This window comes from Homo sapiens, chromosome 1, assembly GCF_000001405.40.
Source record: "Homo sapiens chromosome 1, GRCh38.p14 Primary Assembly".
Classification (NCBI taxonomy): Eukaryota; Metazoa; Chordata; class Mammalia; order Primates; family Hominidae; genus Homo; species Homo sapiens.
In genome coordinates, this window is record NC_000001.11 from 669140 (window position 1) to 690155 (window position 21016).

The 21016-nt window shown below is 38.5% G+C and overlaps 1 protein-coding gene and 1 pseudogene across 5 annotated transcripts in view; one reads left to right on the top strand and one right to left on the bottom strand.

The window, feature by feature from the left end:
- On the top strand, positions 5604-6107 carry WBP1LP6 (WBP1L pseudogene 6; annotated as a pseudogene).
- The window catches only part of OR4F16 (olfactory receptor family 4 subfamily F member 16), a 44026-nt gene continuing 29946 nt past the window's right edge, over positions 6937-21016 (bottom strand). For 4 of the 5 annotated variants that reach the window (XM_024449992.2, XM_017002410.2, XM_017002408.2 and 1 more), the window contains one exon: positions 6937-19940. In XM_024449992.2, coding sequence (XP_024305760.1) covers positions 16577-17515 — 939 coding nt within the window. In that variant the 5' untranslated portion in view covers positions 17516-19940 and the 3' untranslated portion in view covers positions 6937-16576. Of the gene's footprint in view, positions 19941-21016 lie in introns of those variants that run through there. The other variant, NM_001005277.1, reaches the window with a different exon arrangement.

Sequence of the window (21016 nt, forward strand, 5' to 3'; positions counted from 1 at the left end):
GGCCTCTCAGGGGGACGGGGGGTAGGAGACCATCAGGACAAACACGTGAGTACATGGAGGGGAACAACACACACCAGGGCCTCTCAGGGGGACGGGGGGTAGGAGACCATCAGGACAAACACGTGGGTACATGGAGGGGAACAACACACACCAGGGCCTCTCAGGGGGACGGGGGGTAGGAGACCATCAGGACAAACACGTGGATACATGGAGGGGAACAACACACACCAGGGCCTCTCAGCGGGACAGGGGGTAGGAGACCATCAGGACAAACACGTGAGTACATGGAGGGGAACAACACATACCAGGGCCTCTCAGGGGGACGGGGGGTAGGAGACCATCAGGACAAACACGTGGGTACATGGAGGGGAACAACACACACCAGGGCCTCTCAGGGGGACGGGGGGTAGGAGACCATCAGGACAAACACGTGGATACATGGAGGGGAACAACACACACCAGGGCCTCTCAGGGGGACAGGGGGTAGGAGACCATCAGGACAAACACGTGGATACATGGAGGGGAACAACACACACCAGGGCCTCTCAGGGGGACAGGGGGTAGGAGACCATCAGGACAAACACGTGGATACATGGAGGGGAACAACACACACCAGGGCCTCTCAGGGGGACGGGGGGTAGGAGACCATCAGGACAAACACGTGGGTACATGGAGGGGAACAACACACACCAGGGCCTCTCAGGGGGACGGGGGGTAGGAGACCATCAAGACAAACACGTGGGTACATGGAGGGGAACAACACACACCAGGGCCTCTCAGGGGGACAGGGGTAGGAGACCATCAGGACAAATAGCTAATGCATGCAGGGCCTCATACCTAGGTGATGGGTTGATGGGTGCAGCAAACCACCATGGCACACATTTACCTATGTATCAAACCTACACTTTCTGCACGTGTATCCCAGAACATAAAATAAAATTTAAAAAATATATACACTGATTCATGATCTCCTTTCTCTCCTTCTGAAACACTCTTTAAAACTTTTTAGCATTTCCCCCTCTGTCTTCCATGTCTCCTAACTACATGTTTCTTATTTTCCATTTCCTTATTCCTGTGTTCATTTTGGATAGCCCCTTCTGACCTATATTACAGTTTACTAGTTCACTCTTCAACTGCTTCTAACATACTAATATTCTGTTAAAACCATTCATTTGGGTTTAAATTTCAATTATGTTATTCTCTATGGACATTCTATTTGTTTTCTTTTAATCTTCTTGGCCATTCTCTAGAGTTTCCTGTTCCATTATGATATTTTTAATTTTTTGTTTTACTTTAAACATACTAAATATAGTTATTTTATTTTCTGTATCTGATACTTTCAATAACTGCAGTCTTCGCTAGTCTTTTTTCTGTGCTCTTGCTCATAGTTTTTTTCGTTTGTTTTCATGATTAGAAAAACAGAGAGAGAAGAAGGAGAGTAAAGGGAGGAGGAGGAGGAGGAGAAAAGAAGAAAGCAGAGAAGAAGGGACAGAGAAAAAAAGGAAGTTGGTTCTAACGTTTCTCTAACAACTGTCTTCAGTGAAACGCTCCCACCTTGTGGATTTTTAGGTTATTGAAATTAACCAGTCTTCTGGGTGCAGCACACCAACATGGCACATGTATACATATGTAACAAACCTGCACTTTGTGCACATGTACCCTAAAACTTAAAGTATAATAAAAAATAAAATAAAAAGCTACACAAATTAAAAAAAAAAGAAATCAACCTAATTCCTAGATTACCACCTCTTGATTCAAATGCTTTAAATCTAGGCTTTTCATCTGAGTCTTTCTTTTTAGTTATTCTGTTTATCTTCAAAACACTCCTGCTTTGAATCATTCAAAATCTACCTCCCTCCCTCTGTTTGACTACCATCAATTTTTTTGCTCATTCCTAATGCATTAATCTATTAGCTGTGAATATCCAAAAACCCTCATTTCACTGAATCTTTGACAGACCCCTTTGCATCCTCTTGTTCTTCTAATTATTTCCTCAGACACTTTATGTTCTCTTTTCTTTACAAGCATGCCATAGTTTATATACAATGTGTGTATTGTTTTTATATATACCTATATATAGCCTCTTTTTAAAAGCACTGTACACCATGCTTTGAAATATATTCTAAAATCAGGTAGCATGAAAATGGAAACATAACATACTAAAACATATGGGATGCAACAAAAGCAGTTATAAGAGGGACACTTATAGCAATAAATGCCTACATCAAAAAAGAAAAAAAGATCTCAAATAAGCAACCTAATATTATGCCTAAAGGAGCGAGAAAATTAGAGAACAATACAAGCCCAAAGATAGCAGAAGGAAACAAATAACAAAGATCAGAGCAGAAATAATATAATAGAAACTGAAAATTTCAATAAAAATAAGAATTGTTTTTTGAAAAGATAAACAAAATTAACAAATTCTTACATAGACTAAGAAAAAAGAAAACAAACTCAGAAATGAAAGAAGAGACATTAAAACTGATACCACAGAAGTTAAAAAATCATAACATACTACTATAATTAATTATTCACCAGCAAATTAGATAACCTAGAAGAAATTGATAAACTCGTACCAAAACTGAATCATGAAGAATTCAAAATTTAGAACAAATCGTGAATAAGGAAATTAAATCACCAATGAAAGGTCTCTCATAAAAGAAAGACCCAGGATTGAATGGCTCAGTGGCTGGATTCTAACAAACACTTAGATAACTAACACCAATCCTTCTCAAACGCTTCCAGAAACATGAAGAAGAGGAATACTTCCAAATTCATTTTTCAAAACCAGCATTACCCTGATACCAAAACCAGAGAAGGACACTATAATAAAAATAAATTGCAGACCAATACTCCTGATGAACTTAGATGGAAAAACCCTCAGCCAAATATTAGCAAATATTATTTTTAAGAAAACACAGCAAAAAAATTCACCATGCTTAAGTGGGATTCATCCCTGGGAAGCTTATTAGTCTTATTTGATTCGTGTAATCAGAAAATTTCTATGTCTAGTGAAGAGAAATGAGAGCAATAGAGACTCATAGCACCTCAACAAATTTCCAGGCTTGAGCCAGTTAACAAATACAAGTCCTTCAAATACAAAAAGACTGTGAAAGAAAATAGAACAGATCAATGAAACTAAGAATTTGTTCTTTGAAAAGATAAACAAAACTGACAAACCATTAGCTAGACTAGAAAAACGAGAGAATACTCAAAGCAATAAAATCAGAAATGAAAGAGGAAATATTGCAACTAATACCACAGAAATATAGAGGATCATAAGAGGCCACTATAAACAATTACAAGCCAACAAATTGGATAACCTAGAAAAAGCAGATAAATTTCTAGAAAAATGCAACTTACCTAGAGAAAGTCAAGAAGAAAGATAAAATCTGAACAGAACAATACTGAGTATGGAGAGTATATCAATAATAAAACATCTCCCATCAAAGAACATCCCAGGACCAGAAAACTTCATTGCTGAATTCTAACATTTTAAAAAATAATAATACAATCCTTCTGAAATTCTTCCAAAAACTTGAAGGAGAAAGAGTATTTCCAAACTCATTTTAAAAGATCAGCATTATTGTTTTTTTTTTAAAGTGATGTTCCCCTTCCTGTGTCCATGTGTTCTCATTGTCCAATTCCCACCTATGAGTGAGAACATGCACTGTTTGGTTTTTTGTCCTTGTGATAGTTTGCTGAGAATGATGGTTTCCAGCTTCATCCATGTCCCTACAAAGGACATGAACTCATCATTTTTTATGGCTGCATAGTATTCCATGGTGTATATGTGCCACATTTTCTTAATCCAGTCTATCATTGTTGGACATTTGGATTGGTTCCAAGTCTTTGCTATTGTGAATAGTGCTGCAATAAACATACGTGTGCATGTGTCTTTATAGCAGCATGATTTATAATCCTTTGGGTATATACCCAGTAATGGGATGGCTGGGTCAAATGGTATTTCTAGTTCTAGATCCCTAAGAAATCGCCACACTGACTTCCACAATGGTTGAACTAGTTTACAGTCCCACCAACAGTGTAAAAATGTTCCTATTTCTCCACATCCTCTCCAGCACCTGTTGTTTCCTGACTTTTTAATGATGGCCATTCTAACTGGTGTGAGATGGTATCTCATTGTGGTTTTGATTTGCACTTCTCTGATGGCCAGTGATGATGAGCATTTTTTCATGTGTTTTTTGGCTGCATAGATGTCTTCTTTTGAGAAGTGTCTGTTCATATCCTTTGCCCACTTTTTGATGGGGTTGTTTGTTTTTTTCTTGTAAATTTGTTTGGGTTCATTGTAGATTCCAGATATTAGCACTGGGGCCTGTTGTGGGGTGGGGGGAGGGGGGAGGGATAGCATTAGGAGATACACCTAATGTTAAATGATGAGTTAATGGGTGCAGCACACCAGCATGGCACATGTATACATATGTAACTAACCTGCACGTTGTGCACATGTACCCTAAAACTTAAAGTATAATTTAAAAAATAAATAAATAAAAATAAAAATAAAAAGGCAAACAAGGACACTATAAGAAAAGTATGGGCCAACCAATATCCCTGATGAACATAGATACAAAAGTCCTCAAAATAAGTACTAGCAAACAGAATTTAACAACATATTAGGAGAACATTTACCATGATAAAGTGGATTTATCCTCCAGATGTTTCAGCAAACACAAATCAAATGTGATAAACCACATTAACAGAATGAAGGATAAAAAAATAGCTATCTCTATATATGCAGAAAAAGCATTTGACTAAATTCAAAATCCTCTCATGACAAAACCTCTCAACAAATTGGGCGTAGAAGGCATGTACCTTAACACAAAACAGGACATATATAACAAGCTCACAGCTCACATCATACCCAACAATGAAAAAGTGAAATCTTTTCTGCTAAGATCAAGAACAAGACAAGGATATTTATTCTCACTACTTCTATTCAACTTATTTCTGGAAGTCCTAGCCAGAGCAATTAAGCCAAATAAAGAAATAAAAGATATTCAAATTGAAAAGGAAGAAGTAAAATTGTCTCTGTTTGATGACATATTATATATAGGAAACCCTAAAAACTCCACCAAAAAGCTATTAGAAATGATAAATGAATTCAATAAAATTGCAGAATTCAAAATCAATGTACAAAACTCAGTAGTTTCTTTACACTCACAACAAACTATATGACAAAAATAAAGAAATCAATCTCATTCACAGTAGCATCAAAAAAACTGTATTTTTTTTGTTTAGGAGCACATTTAGGATTGTACTTAGGAGTACATTTAACCAAGGAGGTGAAAGATCTGTATTCTGAACACTATAAAACATTGATGAAAAATTGTAGATGACACAAATACATGGAAAGATATTTTATGTTCATGGGTAGGAAGAATTAATATTCTTAAAATGTCCTTACTGCCCAAAGCGATTTATAGGTTTAATGCAACATTTATCAAAATTTCAATGTCATTCTTCACAGAAATAGAAAAAACAATTTGAAAATTTATATGGAACCACAAAGGACCCTGAATAACTAAAGCACTCTTGAGCAATAAGAACAAAGCTGAAGGCCTCACAATCTGACTTCAAAACGTATTACAGGAAAAGAACAAAAGAAGGAAGAAGAGGGTAGAGGAGAAGTGCAGCAAGGGTGGAGGGAGGTGCCCGCGCTGGGTCGGAGGAGCAGGAGTATGGAGGGAAGACTCCTGGGTGGCATGGAGCTCTTGCACCTCTAGGCACTGCCCAGCCCTGTGTCAGCCAGGGCTGAACCCCCACAGGATAAGGAAGCCTGTGTGTGTACCAACAATCAAAGCTACATCTGTGACACAACAGGACACTGCTATGGGCAGTCTCAGTGTTGTAACTACTACTATGAACATTGGTGGTTCTGGCTCGCGTGGACCATCACCATCATCCTGAGCTGCTGCTGTGTCTGCCACCACAGCCAAGCCAGCCCTCAAGTCCAGCAGTAGCAACATGAAATCAACCTGCCTGCCTATCCAGAAGCCCGCAATTACTCAGTGCTACCATTTTATTTCACCAAACTATTTATTACCTTCTTATGAGGAAGTGGTGAACTAACCTCCACCTGTTTCCCTCCCTGTCTGTCCATTGTGGATGAGCTCTGAGCCCTGTTTTCCTGTGAAGATTCTTTGAATTGCGGCCATTCTATTCACATGAACTCTCACATCTGGAGCACAGATGGCCCTCTCAAGGTAATTTATTGTATGCATTGACTGTTTACCAAACAAATGTCTTACTATGTACTCAGGTATATTCAGCAGCATTGTCGACTGCAGTCCCCTATGCTTGCCAGAAGATACTGTATTCAAAGTAGAAGTTTCACAGTGATGAGTAATCACTGCAATTTTCCCATTGCTCCATGGACTCTCAGAGGCCGGTGTTCTGTTCCCTGTAAATAGAGATGTACTCTGAACCTTTCTGCCTCCCTCAGCTGTTCCTAGTCCTTGGTATCAGCCCCTGGAGATGTCCACAACCACTTAGGACAAAAGGCAAAAGTGGAATTTCAGACAAAACTTTGATAGGATCTTCAGTGATAAACTTGGACTAACTGTGGCCCAGGTATCAGCACTCCCAAGAATTGCCAGGAGGAAGCTTTGGCAGACACCACAGGTATGGCAAGGCCTATCTCCCTCTGCTGAATCCAACAGGGGCAAGCAAGCTGGCATGTGGCTTGAGGTGACCCGAATATGTCAGCACCCCTCAGATGTCTTTCTTTGCACTTTTAAAAAAAATCTCAGAATTTGCTGGCAACATGGCCAAATAGGAACAGCTCCAGTCTGCAGCTCCCAGTGAGATCAATGCAGAATGCAGGTGATTTCTGCATTTCCAACTGAGGTACCTGGTTCATCTCACTGGGACTGGTTGGACAGTGGGTGCAGCGCACGGAGGGTGAGCCAAAGCAGAATGGGGTGTCGCCTCACCCGGGAAGTGCAAGGGGTTGGGGGAATTCCCTCCCCTAGCCAAGGGAAGCCCCGAGGGACTGTACCATGAGGAACGGTGCACTCCACCCAGAAACTATGCTTTTCTCACGGTCTTCACAATCCACAGACCAGGAGATTCCCTCCAGTGCCTCTGCCACCAAGGCCCTAGGTTTCAAGCACAAAACTAGGCAGCTGTTTGGGCAGACACCGAGCTAGCTGCAGGAGTTTTTTTTTTTTTTTCATGCCACAATGGCAACTGGAATGCCAACAAGACAGAACCATTCTCTCTCCTGGAAAGGGGGCTGAAGCCAGGGAGCCAAGTGGTCTGGCTCGGCGGGTCCCACCCATACAGAGCCCAGCAAGCTAAGATCCACTGGCTTGAAATTCTTGCACAGCAGTCTGAGGTTGACCTAGGACACTCGAGCTTGGTGGCGGGAGGGGCTTCCACATTGCCAAGGCTTGAGTAGGCAGTTTTACCCCCACAGTGTAAACAAAGCCACCAGAAAGTTTGAACTGGGTGGAGCCCACCACAACTCAGCAAGGCCACAGCAGCCAGACTGCCTCTCTAGATTTCTCCTCTCTGGGCAAGGCATCTCTGAAAAAAGGGCAGCAGCCCCAGTCAGAGACCTATAGATAAAACCCCCATCTCCCTGGAACAGACCACCTAGGGGAAAGGGCGCCTGTGGGCACAGCTTCAGCAGACTTAAAGCATCTTTGAAAAGCCTGATGGCTCTGAAGAGAGCAGCAGATCTCCCTGCACAGTATTCGAGCTCTGATAAGGGTCAGACTGCCTCCTCAAGTGGGTCCCTAACCCCCGTGTATCCTGACTGGGAGACACCTCCCAGTAGGTGCCAACAGGCACCTCATACAGGAGAGCTCTGGCTGGCATCTGGTGGGTGCCCCTCTTGGACAAAACTTCCAGAGGAAGAAACAGGCAGCAATCTTTGCTGTTCTCCAGCCTCCGCTGGTGATGCCCAGGCAAACAGGGTCTAGAGTAGACCTAGGGCAAACACCAACAGACCTGCAGCAGAGGGGCCTGACTGTTAGAAGGAAAACTAACAAACAAAAAGGAATAGCATCAACATCAACAAAAAGGACAGCCACTCAGTGACCTCATCAGAAGGTTACCAACATCAGAAACCACAGGTAGATAAATCCATGAAGATGGAGAGAAACCAGAGCAAAAAGGCTGAAAATTCCAAAAACCAGAACGCCTCTTCTCCTCCAAAGGATCACAACTCCTCACCAGCAAGGGAACAAAAGAAAACTGGATGGAGAATGAGTTTGATGAATTGAGAGAAGTAGGTTTCAGAAGGTAGGTAATAACAAACTCCTCCAAGCTAAAGGAGCATGTCCTAACCCAATGTAAGGAAGCTAAGGACCTGGAAAAAAGGCTAGACCAATTGCTAACTAGAATAACCAGTTTAGAGAAGAACATAAATGACCTGATGGAGCTGAAAAACATGCCATGAGAACTTCATGCAGCATGCACAAGGATCAAGCACTGATTCGATCAAGCGGAAGAAAGATATCAGAGACTGAATATCAACTTAATGAAATAAATCAAGAAGACAAGATTAGAGAAAAAAGAATGAAAAGAAATGAACAAAGCCTCCAAGAAATATGGGACTATGTGAAACGACCAAATCTACATTTGATTGCTGTACCTGAAAGTGATGGGGAGAATGGAACCAAGTTAGAAAACACTCTTCAGGATATTATCCAGGAGAACTTCCCTAACCTAGCAAGGCAGGCCAATATTCAAATTCAGAAATACGGAGAACATCACAAAGACACTCCTCAAGAAAAGCAACCCCAAGACACATAGTCATCAGATTGAGCAAGGTTGAAATGAAGGAAAAAATGTTAAGGGCAGCCAGAGAGAAAGGTCAGGTTACCCACAAAGGGAAGCCCATCAGACTAACAGCAGATCTATCAGCAGAAATTCTACAAGCCAGAAGAGAATGGGGGCCAATATTCAACATTCTTAAAGAAAAGAATTTTCCACCCAGGATTTCATATCCAGCCAAACTAAGCTTCATAAGTGAAGGAGAAATAAAATCTTTACAGACAAGCAAATGCTGAGAGATTTTGTCACCACCAGGCCTGCCTTAAAGGAGCTCCTGAAGGAAGCACTAAACATGGAAAGGAACAACTGGTATCAGCCACTGCAAAAACATACCAAATTGTAAAGACAATTGACACTATGAAGAAACTGCATTAACTAACAGCAAAATAACCAGCTAGCATCGTAATGACAGGATCAAATTCACACATAACAATATCAACCTTAAATGTAAATGGGCTAAATGCTCCAATTAAAAAACACAGACTGGCAAATTGGCTAAAGAGTCAAGACCCATCAGTGTTCTGTATTCAGGAGACCCATCTCACGTGCAAAGACACAAATAGGCTCAAAATAAAGGGATGGAGGAATACTTACCAAGCAAATGGAAGGCAAAAAAAAGCAGGGGTCGCAATCCTAGTCTCTGATAAAACAGACTTTAAACCAACAAAGATCAAAAGAGACAAATAAGGGCATTGCATAATGGTAAAAGGATCAATGCAACAAGAAGAGCTAATTATCCTAAATATATATGCACCCAATACAGGAGCACCCAGATGCATAAAGTAAGCTCTTAGAGACTTAAAAAGAGACTTAGACCCTCACACAATAATAGTGGGAGACTTTAACATCCCACTGTCAATACTAGACAGATCAACGAAACAGAAAGTTAACAAGGATATCCAGGACTTGAACTCAGCTCTGGACCAAGTGGATCCAATAGACAGCTACAGAACTCTCCACCCCAAATCAACAGAATATACATTCTTCTCAGCACCACATTGCACTTATTCTAAAATTGACCACATATTTGGAAGTAAAACACTCCTCAGCAAATGCAAAAAAAAATGGGAATCATAACAGTCTCTCAGATCGCAGTGCAATTAAATTAGAACTCAGGATTAAGAAACTGACTCAAACCCACACAACTACATGTAAACTGAACAACCTGCTCCTGAACAACTACTGGGTAAATAAAGATATTAAGGCAGAAATAAATAAGTTATTTGAAACCAATGAGAACAAAGACATAACATACCAGAATCTCTGGTACACAATTATAGCAGTGTGTAGAGGGAAATTTATAGCACTAAATGCCCACAAGAGAAAGCAGGAAAGATCTAAAATTGACACCCTAACATCTCAATTAGAAGAACTCAAGAGGCAGGAGCATACAAAAAGCTAGCAGAGGACAATAAATAACTAAGATCAGAGCAGAACTGAAGGAGATAGAGACACAAAAAAACCTTCAAAAAAAATCAATGAATCCAGGAGCTGGTTTTTTGAAAATATCAATAAAATAGATAGACCACTAGCCAGACTCATAAAGAAGAAAACAGAGAAGAATCAAACAGATGCAATAAAAAATGATAAAGGAGATACCACCACTGATCCCACAGAAATACAAACTACTATCAGAGAATACTATAAACACCTCTACACAAACTAGAAAATCTAGAAGAAATGGACAAATTCCTGGACACATACACCCTCCCAAGACTAAACCAGGAAGAAGTTGAATCCCTGAATAGACCAATAACAAGGTCTGAAATTGTGGCAGAATTAATAGCCTACCAACCAAAAAACAGTCCAGGACCAGATGGATTCACAGCCGAATTCTACCAGAGGTACAAAGAGGAGCTGGTACCATTCCTTCTGAAACTATTCCAAACAACAGAAAAAGAGGGAATCCTCCCTAACTCATTTTATGAGGCCAGAATAATTCTGGTACCAAAATTTGGCAGAGACACAACAAAAAAAAAGAAAATTTCAAGCCAATATCCCTGATGAACATCGATGCAAAAATCCTCAATAAAATACTGGCAAACCAAATCCAGCAGCATATCAAAAGCTTGTCCACCACAATCAAGTCAGCTTCATCCCTGGGATACAAGGCTAGTTCAACATACGCAAATCAATAAACATAATTCATCATATAAATAGAACCAATGGCAAAAACCACATGCTTCTCTCAATAGATGCAGAAAAGGCCTTCGAAAAAATTCAACAGCCCTTCATGCTAAAAACTCTCAATAAACTAGGTACTGATGGAACATATCTCAAAATAATAATACCTATTTATGAAAAACCCACAGCCAATACTGAATGGTGAAAAACTGGAAGCATTCCCTTTGAAAACCAGCACAAGACAAGGATGCCCTATCTCACCACTCCTATTCAACGTAGTATTGGAAGTTCTGGCCAGGGCAATCAGGCAAGAGAAAGAAATTGTCTCTGTTTGCAGATGACATGATTGTGTATTTAGAAAACCCCATGGTCTCAGCCCAAAATCTTCTTAAGCTAATAAGCAACTTCAGAAAAGTCTCAGGATACAAAATCAATGTGCAAAAATCAAGCATTCCTATATGCAAAAAACAGACAAACAGAGAGCCAAATCATGAGTGAACTCTCCCATTCACAATTGCTACTAAGAGAATAAAATACCTAGGAATCCAACTTACAAGGGATGTGAAGGACCTCTTCAAGGAGAACTACAAACCACTGCTCAAGGAAATAAGAGAGGACACAAACAAATGGAAAAACATTCCATGCTCATGGATAGGAAGAATCAATATCATGAAAATGGACATACTGCCCAAAGTTTTTATAGACTCAATGCTATCCCCATCAAGCTACCACTGACTTTGTTCACAGAATTGGAAAAAACTACTTTAAATTTCATATGGAACCAAAAATGAGCCCGCAGAGCTAGGACAGTCCTAAGCAAGTAGAACAAATCTGGAGGCATCACGCTGTCTGACTTCGAACTATACTACAAGTCTTCAGTAACCAAAACAGCATGGTACTGGTACCAAAACAGATATGTAGACCAATGGAACAGAACAGAGGCCTCAGAAATAACACCACACATCTACAACTATCTGATCTTTGACAAACCTGACAAAAACAAGCAATGGGGAAACGATTCCCTTTTTAATAAATGGTGTTGGGAAAACCGGCTAGCCATATGCAGAAAACTGAAACTGGATCCCTTTCTTACACTTTACACAAAAATTAACTCACGATGTATTAAAGACTTAAACATAAGATCTAAAACCATAAAAAACCCTAGAAGAAAACCTAGGCAATACCATTCAGTACATAGGCATGGACAAAAACTTCATGACTAAAACACCAAAAGCAATGGCAACAAAAGCCAAAATTGACAAATGGGATCTAATTAAACTAAAGAGCTCCTGCACAGCAAAAGAAACTATCATCAGAGTGAACAGGCAACCTACAGAATGGGTGAAAATTTTTGCAATCTATCCATCTGACAAAGGGCTAATATCCAGAATCTACAAAGAACTTAAACAATTTACAAGAAAATAACAAACAAACCCATCAGTGGGTGAAGGATATGAACTGACATTTCTCTAAAGAAGACATTTATGCAGCCAACAAACATATGAAAAAAAGCTCATCATCACTGGTCATCAGAGAAATGCATATCAATACCACAATGAGATACCATCTCACGCCAGATAGAATGGCGATCATTAAAAAGTCAGGAAACAACAGATGCTGGAAAGGATGTGGAGAAATAAGAATGCTTTTACACTGTTGGTGGGAGTGTAAATTAGTTCAACCATTGTGGAAGACAGTGTGGTGATTCCTCAAGGTTCTAGAACTAGAAATATGATTTGACCCAGTAATTGCATTACTGGGTATATATCCAAAGGATTATAAATCATTCTACTATAAAGACACATGCACACATATGTTTATTGTGGCACTGTTCACAATAGCAAAGACTTGGAACCAACCAAAATGCCCATTCAGTGATAGACTGCATAAAGAAAATGTGGCATATATACACCATGGAATACTATGCAGCCATAAAGAAGGATGAGTTCATATCCTTTTCAGGGACATGGATTAAGCTGGAAACCATCATTCTCAGCAAACTAATCCAAGAACAGAAAACCAAACACCCGATGTTCTCACTCATAAATGAGAGTTGAACAATGAGAACACATGGACAGAGGGAGGGGAACACAACACACCGGGGCCTGTCTGGGGGTAGGGGCTGGGGGAAGGTTAGCATTGGGTTAAATACCTAATGTAGATGATGGGTTGATGGGTGCAGCAAACCACCATGGCACGTGTATACCTATGTAACAATCCTGCATGTTCTGCATATGTACCCCAGAACTTAAAATATAATTTAAAAAAAAATCTCAAACAACTCACTGAAGTGTCTCAAAGCTGAACAAGTTTTACCAAAATGAATCCTTCTCAGTTAACTGATCAAATGGATGAATCCTGACCCTCTGAAGTCTCTTTCCTGAGTTAGAGCAGGGAACTGCTCTGAGTGTTAACTGTTGGATTCACTGCAGTGTCCTACAATATTTTACAAGAAGATGAACAGGCAACCTGCAGACCTAAGCTTGATTCCCAAGTCACAGTCTGACCCCTGCTACAGGAGGTTACCCTCCTCAGGAAGAGATAGAAATAGGGAATTTGAAGGAATAGTGAGGGGACCAGGGAGATTTGATTGAGTCTGGTTTCCAGGTGAATTAAAAGGAAGGGTGTCATCCAGGGTTTGTTACTACAGTCAAAAGAATAAATAAATCAATGAAGAAATACCTTCATTGTCTGTGGTTTTCATGCAGATATACTCATGGAGGTTGTATCTCTCCAAAAACAGACAAATCCAAGGCTGTGAACAAGCATCCGCATTTGAATTCCATTAAACCAAAATCTATGTTGAACGAAGTGAAGTCTGTACACAGCATTGCAAATGTGAACACATTCCTGTGTGAGGCACATCACCATTTGTCAGTTATTGTGAATATGTGTATTTTTAAGCAATAAGATGCAGCTGGTCAGTTTTCTGGGCAATCTTGGTGAGGCATTTCCTGTGCTGTGGTTGTTCTCTAACCACTGTGAGAAACCCAAATAAAAATCGATCCCCCCCAAAACAAGTACGTATCACAAAACCATAGTAATCAAAACAATATGACACTTGCACAAAAACAGACACATTGACCAGGGGAACAGAATAAGGAGCCCAGAAATAAACTCATGCATTTATGACCAATAAATTTTTGACAAAGGTGCCCAGAAAACGTAATGAAGAATAGACATTTGTTTCAATAAATGGTGTTAAGAAAACTAGATATCCACATGCAGAAGAACACGAATGTGTATGGTGTGTATCCTTATCTCACACCATACACAAAAATCAATTCAAAATGGATTAAAGGTTTAAACATAAAACTGTAAAACTACTAGATGAAAACATAGGGGAAAAGTTCCACAATGTTGGTTTGGTCAAAGATTTCTTGGATATCACCCCCAAAGCACAGGCAACAAAAGCAAAAATATATGGGATTGCATCAAACTAAAAAGCTTCTGCACAGCAAAGGAAACAATATGGTGAAGAGACAACCTACAAGTTGTGAGAAAATATTTGCAGAGCATACATCTGATGAAAGGCTAATCTCCAAATATATAAGGGACTCAACTCAATATCAAGAAAACAAATAACCAAGTCAAAAAATGGGCAAGGTCCTAAATAGACATTTCTCAAAAAAAATACAAATGACTAACATAAAAAAAGTTTGTCATCCTAATTATCAGGGAAATGCAAATTAAAATGACAGTGAGATGCCACTTCATACCTGTTAGAATGGCTACTATCAAAATGATAAAAGATAACAAGTGTTGAAGAGGATACAGAGAAAAGGGAACCCTCGTACACTGTTGGTGGAAATGTAAATTAATACTATTATGAAAAATAGATAAAAGTTACTCAAAAAACTAAAACTAGAATTACTATATGATCCAGCAATCCCACTTCCTTGTATATATCCAAAGGAATTTAAGTCAATATGCTGAAGAGATATCTCCAGGCTCATGTTCATTGCAGCATTATTCACAATACCCAAATATGAAATCAACACAGGTGTCTATCAACTGACAAATGGATGAAGAAAATGTAGTGTATATATACAATGGAATACTACTCAGCCTTAATAGGAAGGAAAACCTGATATATGTGACAACATGAATTAACCCAGAAGATATCACGCTAAGTGAAATAAGCCAGGCACGAAAAGACAAATATCACATGATCTCACTGATATGTGGAATCTAAAAAAGTTGAATTCATAGAAGTAGAGAATGGAATGGTGATTATCAGAGGCTAGTAGTTGGGGGTAGACATGGAAAAGGTAGATGTTGATAAAAGGGTTCAAAGTTTCAGTTAGACAAAGTTTCAGTGAACTATTGCACAGAATGGTGACTGTAATAAATAACAAGGTATTGTATGTTTCAAAATGACTAACAGAGTAGATTTTAAATGTTTTCACCACAAAAAAGATATGTATGTCAATAAGATAGACCTAATCTTTCCACAATTTAAACATGTATCAAAACATTACATTGTACCCCATAAATAGATACAATTATTATTTGTCAATTTAAAATTTTTCACTAATTTATATTGTTATTGTTGCACCAACTCCTTTCCACCAGGCAGATTCTCATAAAGACTATTTTCTCTTTTACATGAAGCATTTCCTACACACCTCTTAATCACGGTAGCATTGACGTCATTCCACCAGATTCTATCTCCAGTGTTAAAATAATCAAGAACCCAGAAATCTCCACCAGGGGGCAACCAATGCGTATCAAAGTTTCCCACTTTCCTTTAGATTTACTTATGGGTAACTTATGGGAAAAAATACTTAAGTACTTCCCTTTTTAAAGAAAAAAATTATATGAATTCTACAAAATTATGGCAGAAAATTTAAGAAGAGCAGATGCTTCCCAACTCATTCTAAAGGGCCAGCATTACCCTGATTCTGAAACGAAAAAGCTTTACAAAATCCAAGATCCATTCCTGACTAAAGATAAAAGAAATTTTCAGCAAACTGTGAATACAGAAAACTTTCTCAGCCTGTTAAAGAGTACCTATGAAAAAAATTATAGCTAACATTATACTTAATGATGAAATATTTAATATATTTCATAACAGGAACAAGTCAAAGATGTCTACTCTAACTAATTCTACTCAGCATTCAACAAAATGAATATAGTGAATTCATACTAGAATTTTAAAAGCAAATGTCTTTATTCACTGACAACATAATCATCTATAAAGAAAATCCTACATAACCTATAAAAAACTGATGGAACTTATAAGTTTTGCAAGTTTACAGGATATAATGTCAAACAAAGATCTATTATGTGCCCATAAGCTAAGAATAAACAATTGTAAATTGAAATAAAAATGTCACTTAAAAGGGCATCAGAAATATAAAACTTAGAGATAAATATAAAGTACATATGCATAAAGTACCTGTTCACCAAAAACTACAAAACATTGCTGAAAGAAATTAAATGGGCATAATATAGATGTAGAGATGTGTTGAATTTATGACTCATTTTGAACAAGGAATATATTCATCATATATTCATCAGATAAGAATTATGTTACAGGTCTAATAACATTCAAATCAATACATAATGTCTCATAGTTCCTGAATCTAAAATATCAAAGAAAGAAACATAAAGCCATATCATGTTTAATGAGAAGGGCTTATTATATCATTTATGAGATCCTCTTGTAAATCACTAGCTGTTTGCATACTCTCTTTATTGCTGCCTTCATCTCCTTATTCCTGAATGTATAGACAACTGGATTCAGAAAAGGAGTGAGAACTGCATCAAAAATAGCCAGAAACTTGTCCATCTGTGAATTAGGGTGTGGCCGTGTATACACAAACATGGGTGGACCAAAGAACAAAAGGACCACTGTGCTGTGAGCTGAAAGAGTGGAAAGGGCCTTGGATGAACCACCTGAGGAATGTTTCCAAACAGTAAACAGGATGAAGACGTAGGAGATTAGAAGTATGAAGAAAGTACCCACACAGATAAACCCACTGTTAACAGTGACCATGAACTGCAATCTGTAGGTGTCGGTACAGGCTAGTCTGAGAAGCCGAGGAAGGTCACAGTAGAAGCTGTCCAACACATTAGGGCCACAGAAGGCTAAATTAACAAGAAATGCCAGTTGGAACAGGGAGTGACTGACACCAAGGGTCCAGGCAACAGCCAGAAATGAAAGGCACATTCTTGGGCTCATAATGGTCAGATAGTGGAGGGGCTTACATAGGGCCACATATCTGTCAAAGGCCATGGCTATGAGCAGCACCATCTCCACACCACCAACGACGTGGATGAAGAAGATTTGAGCGATGCAGCCTCCAAAGGAGATGACTTTGCGCTTTCTGAACAGGTCATAAATCATCTTGGGAGAAGTGACAGAGCAGGCTCCTAAGTCAATGAAGGAGAGACTGGCCAGTAGAAAGTACATGGGGGAGTGTAAGTGAGGGTCAGTGGTCACAGAAAACACAATGAGGATGTTTCCAGTAATGCTTGCCACATAGAGCACAGAGGAAAACACTAGGAGGAGGAGCTGGATCTCCCATGAATGAGTGAGTCCCAGAAACAAAAACTCAGATACCACTGAGTGATTCTCTCCATCCATTGGTCCAGCCAACTGGGCTGTGGCTAAAATTATGAGAACTAAGAAAATGGGGAGGAAATTGTGATTATGAAGATAATAATATGTACTAAAATCAATATTGCAATGTCACTATGAATAAATAGTATACAGTTATTCTGTTCCTCACATATTAAAAACAAAAAATCAACATAATATTATCACAACATGTGAGCTGCAACCTGATTTAAACCCATCATCAATACTTTCAGTGTAATGTCTGATCTAAAATTAACAGATTAGGTAAGAACAAGATTCCTGACTATCCATGAAATTCATCAGGTGTTTAAATGACCTGTGATATTAACTATTCCTCATTTCCAACATATTCCATTTGTACTTATACATATTCTTATAATTTCCTTCCCTTCCCAGTTTGCACCCACAATTCTCTGACAGAAAGTAGACATAAGAGGAAAACATGATTAACAGATGGATTATCACTGCAGTAAGAGGTGCCTGGGACAGACTTAGTTGAGGTAGGCTGTGGATTGAGAGAATATAGAGACTGGGGTATGTGAAATCGGAAAGCCCACAACTGTAGCAGACTAGAGTAAGTGGACTTTCACAAGAAATAGAATCACCACCATTATCTACCACATTTTCTCATGCTTACTGCTATTTAAGTGCCTCAGTTTCTATACAATCTTTCACAATTACGAAGCCCTAAATGGCTTCCCATCCTGCAATGATTTCATAAGGAGCCTATGCCACCTGTCATGTAAGGCTTTTTCCATGCCTAATAAATATGTTTTGGAGGGATTTCACCAGTGTTTCTGCTAAGATACATGCATAAAATGGCCACAGAGGTTGTGAGAAATCTCTGCAGTTTCTCTTTGTCTATACACATGAAAGTATTGAAGACCAGCACTTGGATTAGTTAAGATAATGTTTTAATTCATCACTGTCTCCTCCTCCCCTTGGTACCAGCTTTTATGTTCATTGCATTCCCCACCCTTTTAAGTACTCAGTACCTCCTGCATGGTAACCTATTCTGATATTTGATATTATCATGCTTAATTTGACTGAATCCATTCGGATATTTTATCTTTAAGAAATTTGTAGTTTTATACTTTTAATTTATGATAAAATTAGATTAATATCAAACATTAACAAGTGACTTTTAGGAAGGTATATGAGCTTTCTTATTGACTTCAAACTATAAAGTACAAACTGTGACACTAGAAATTTAGTCCTTTAACACATATTGTATTTATATGTGAAGTGGAGGGTGAGCAGAAAACAGTGTTATATTTCTCTGTGTCCAGATGGATACTCACCTCAATCATTTTCCTATAGTAGAAAGTAGTTCCTGAAAACACTTAATAGAGATTATTTTAGAAGTTGCTGAGGTACAAATAAAACTGCTATGCTGACATCATACTTTTTTGCACCAACAACTCCAGTTCTTCTGACACAAAGGACCATCTTCCTAGTGCCATAATTTATCTTAGACCCCAAAACTCACAGAGGCACACATCATATCTCTAATACTTGCTCACCACCACTGGCATGAGTCTCTCTCTATCCTCTTCTACGTGAAGTGATTATACTGTCACCTCTGGAGCTAACTGTCCACAGTCTCAAGATGCACACTTTTTACAACCAGAAGCCTATGGACTGGGTGAGGGAGCAGAAACAGCCACAGGTACTGCCCATCAGGGTAATGTAAGTCAGCATGCAAACAACTGATCAGATGAACATGAATAGCAAGGTGCTGAGGCACTGGGAAGAGGGACCGGAAAACTCTATAATTGTTGAAAAAGACTCAAGCCCTTGGGAAGGGAAATGCCTACGAAATTATATAAAGACCATTTTATCCAAGTTGGTCATCATTCAGATGAAAACCATGAGGCCCAGAAAAGTAAACTGAGTTTCCAGAATTCACACAATTGATAGAATAGGAACCAGAATTCAGGCCTCTTGCTTCCTATTCCAGAAAGACAAATTGCAATAATAATCAAATAATATGAGCAATCATCCAGTAAAAATAATCTAGTAAAAACAGCAAAACTCAAAAGAGTGATTTTTCCTGGTTAAGACCAAAACTAACCATAGATTGCTATACATAGTATCTATTATAAATACTGAATTATATAGCAGCCTGACAATAAATACATAAAATGTGTACACAAAGATTATTGAACCTGTACAATACAGTAGTAAATAGTAACTTTATATTTGCAAAGTGACTGATCATTACTATCAGAATTTGTACCCATTCTTCATATTTTGTTGGTCATATAACCAGTTACTACAACTGCAAAAACAACCTAAGGTCATGTTTCTGTGAAGTCCATCCTTTTGGTCTTTAAATTTTATTATCCTCAAAGGTCAATTATGATCTCAATCTTTTCTTGTAATTTTACTGACAATTCTCCTTCACACTGATTTGTTCTTTCTCTAATTCCTGTAAATAGAAAGAACCAAAAAAAGTTGAAAAAACATGTATTGTACATATAACAAACAATCATATGTGGTATACAATATATATCAAATGAGTATTAAGATAAACATTCAAAGAGTTTTAAAGAAAAAAGTGTTATAGATATTGGAGGGCAGAAGAGACGATTGCCATTAAGAACAGGTGGAGGAGGTTATGCCAAGGACATTGACCTGACCCTTTAGGAATTAGTGAAAATTGAATAGGAGAAGAATGAGGTATACAATGTGTGAAAAATACCTAAATTGATATAACAGGAGGAGACCTTTTCATATCAATTATCATTACTTCTGTGTATATAACCATATTAGATACCCACAAACGAATAGAAAGTGGATAGTTCTTGATTGACAAGTAAGACTAATAATCCCAGATCATAGTAAGGTCTTAACTTCAAGTCAATAATCTTTATTACTTATGGTTCATTCCTCTCCCTCATGTTTTCCAATAATTTTAAAATGCATAATTAAAACAATTCTCATTTAAAAACATAGTAGCCATGACTAATGATCTTCCAGTGGGAAGGTACTAAGACTTTACAACATGTTTCTTGCTGGGGATAAGACAGCCTACAGCCAGCATTCAACTCATTTTTCTAAAGTCTATGGATCAATTTGAAATACAGAAAAAGTAGAACAGAGATAAAGTTAAAAAAAGATTAAAAATATGGGAAGAATGGGAGAAAGGGGAGATTAGAAGATATGAACAATGATTTAAAAATAAAAGAGCCTCAAAGGAGAAGAGAAACTGCTAAGCAAGACTAAGGTAGGATGAAATACAGTAGTCTCTGTTTCTGAGAACACAGGTTAAAAAGAACATAAATAAAATAAATTTATCACCTTTAATACACTCATTCAAGGATGCTACTGAGTTTGACTTTGGGAATTTCTCACCTTTAATACACTCATCTGGGGATGCTACGGACTGTGACATTGGGTTGCATTTAAAGGGGGAGAGAAAGGGCAGTTGCTTCTATTATCGCCCTGTTGGACTCACAGAGTTTCTTTGAAAAGCACAGATGATAATAAATGGAAATATTGCCT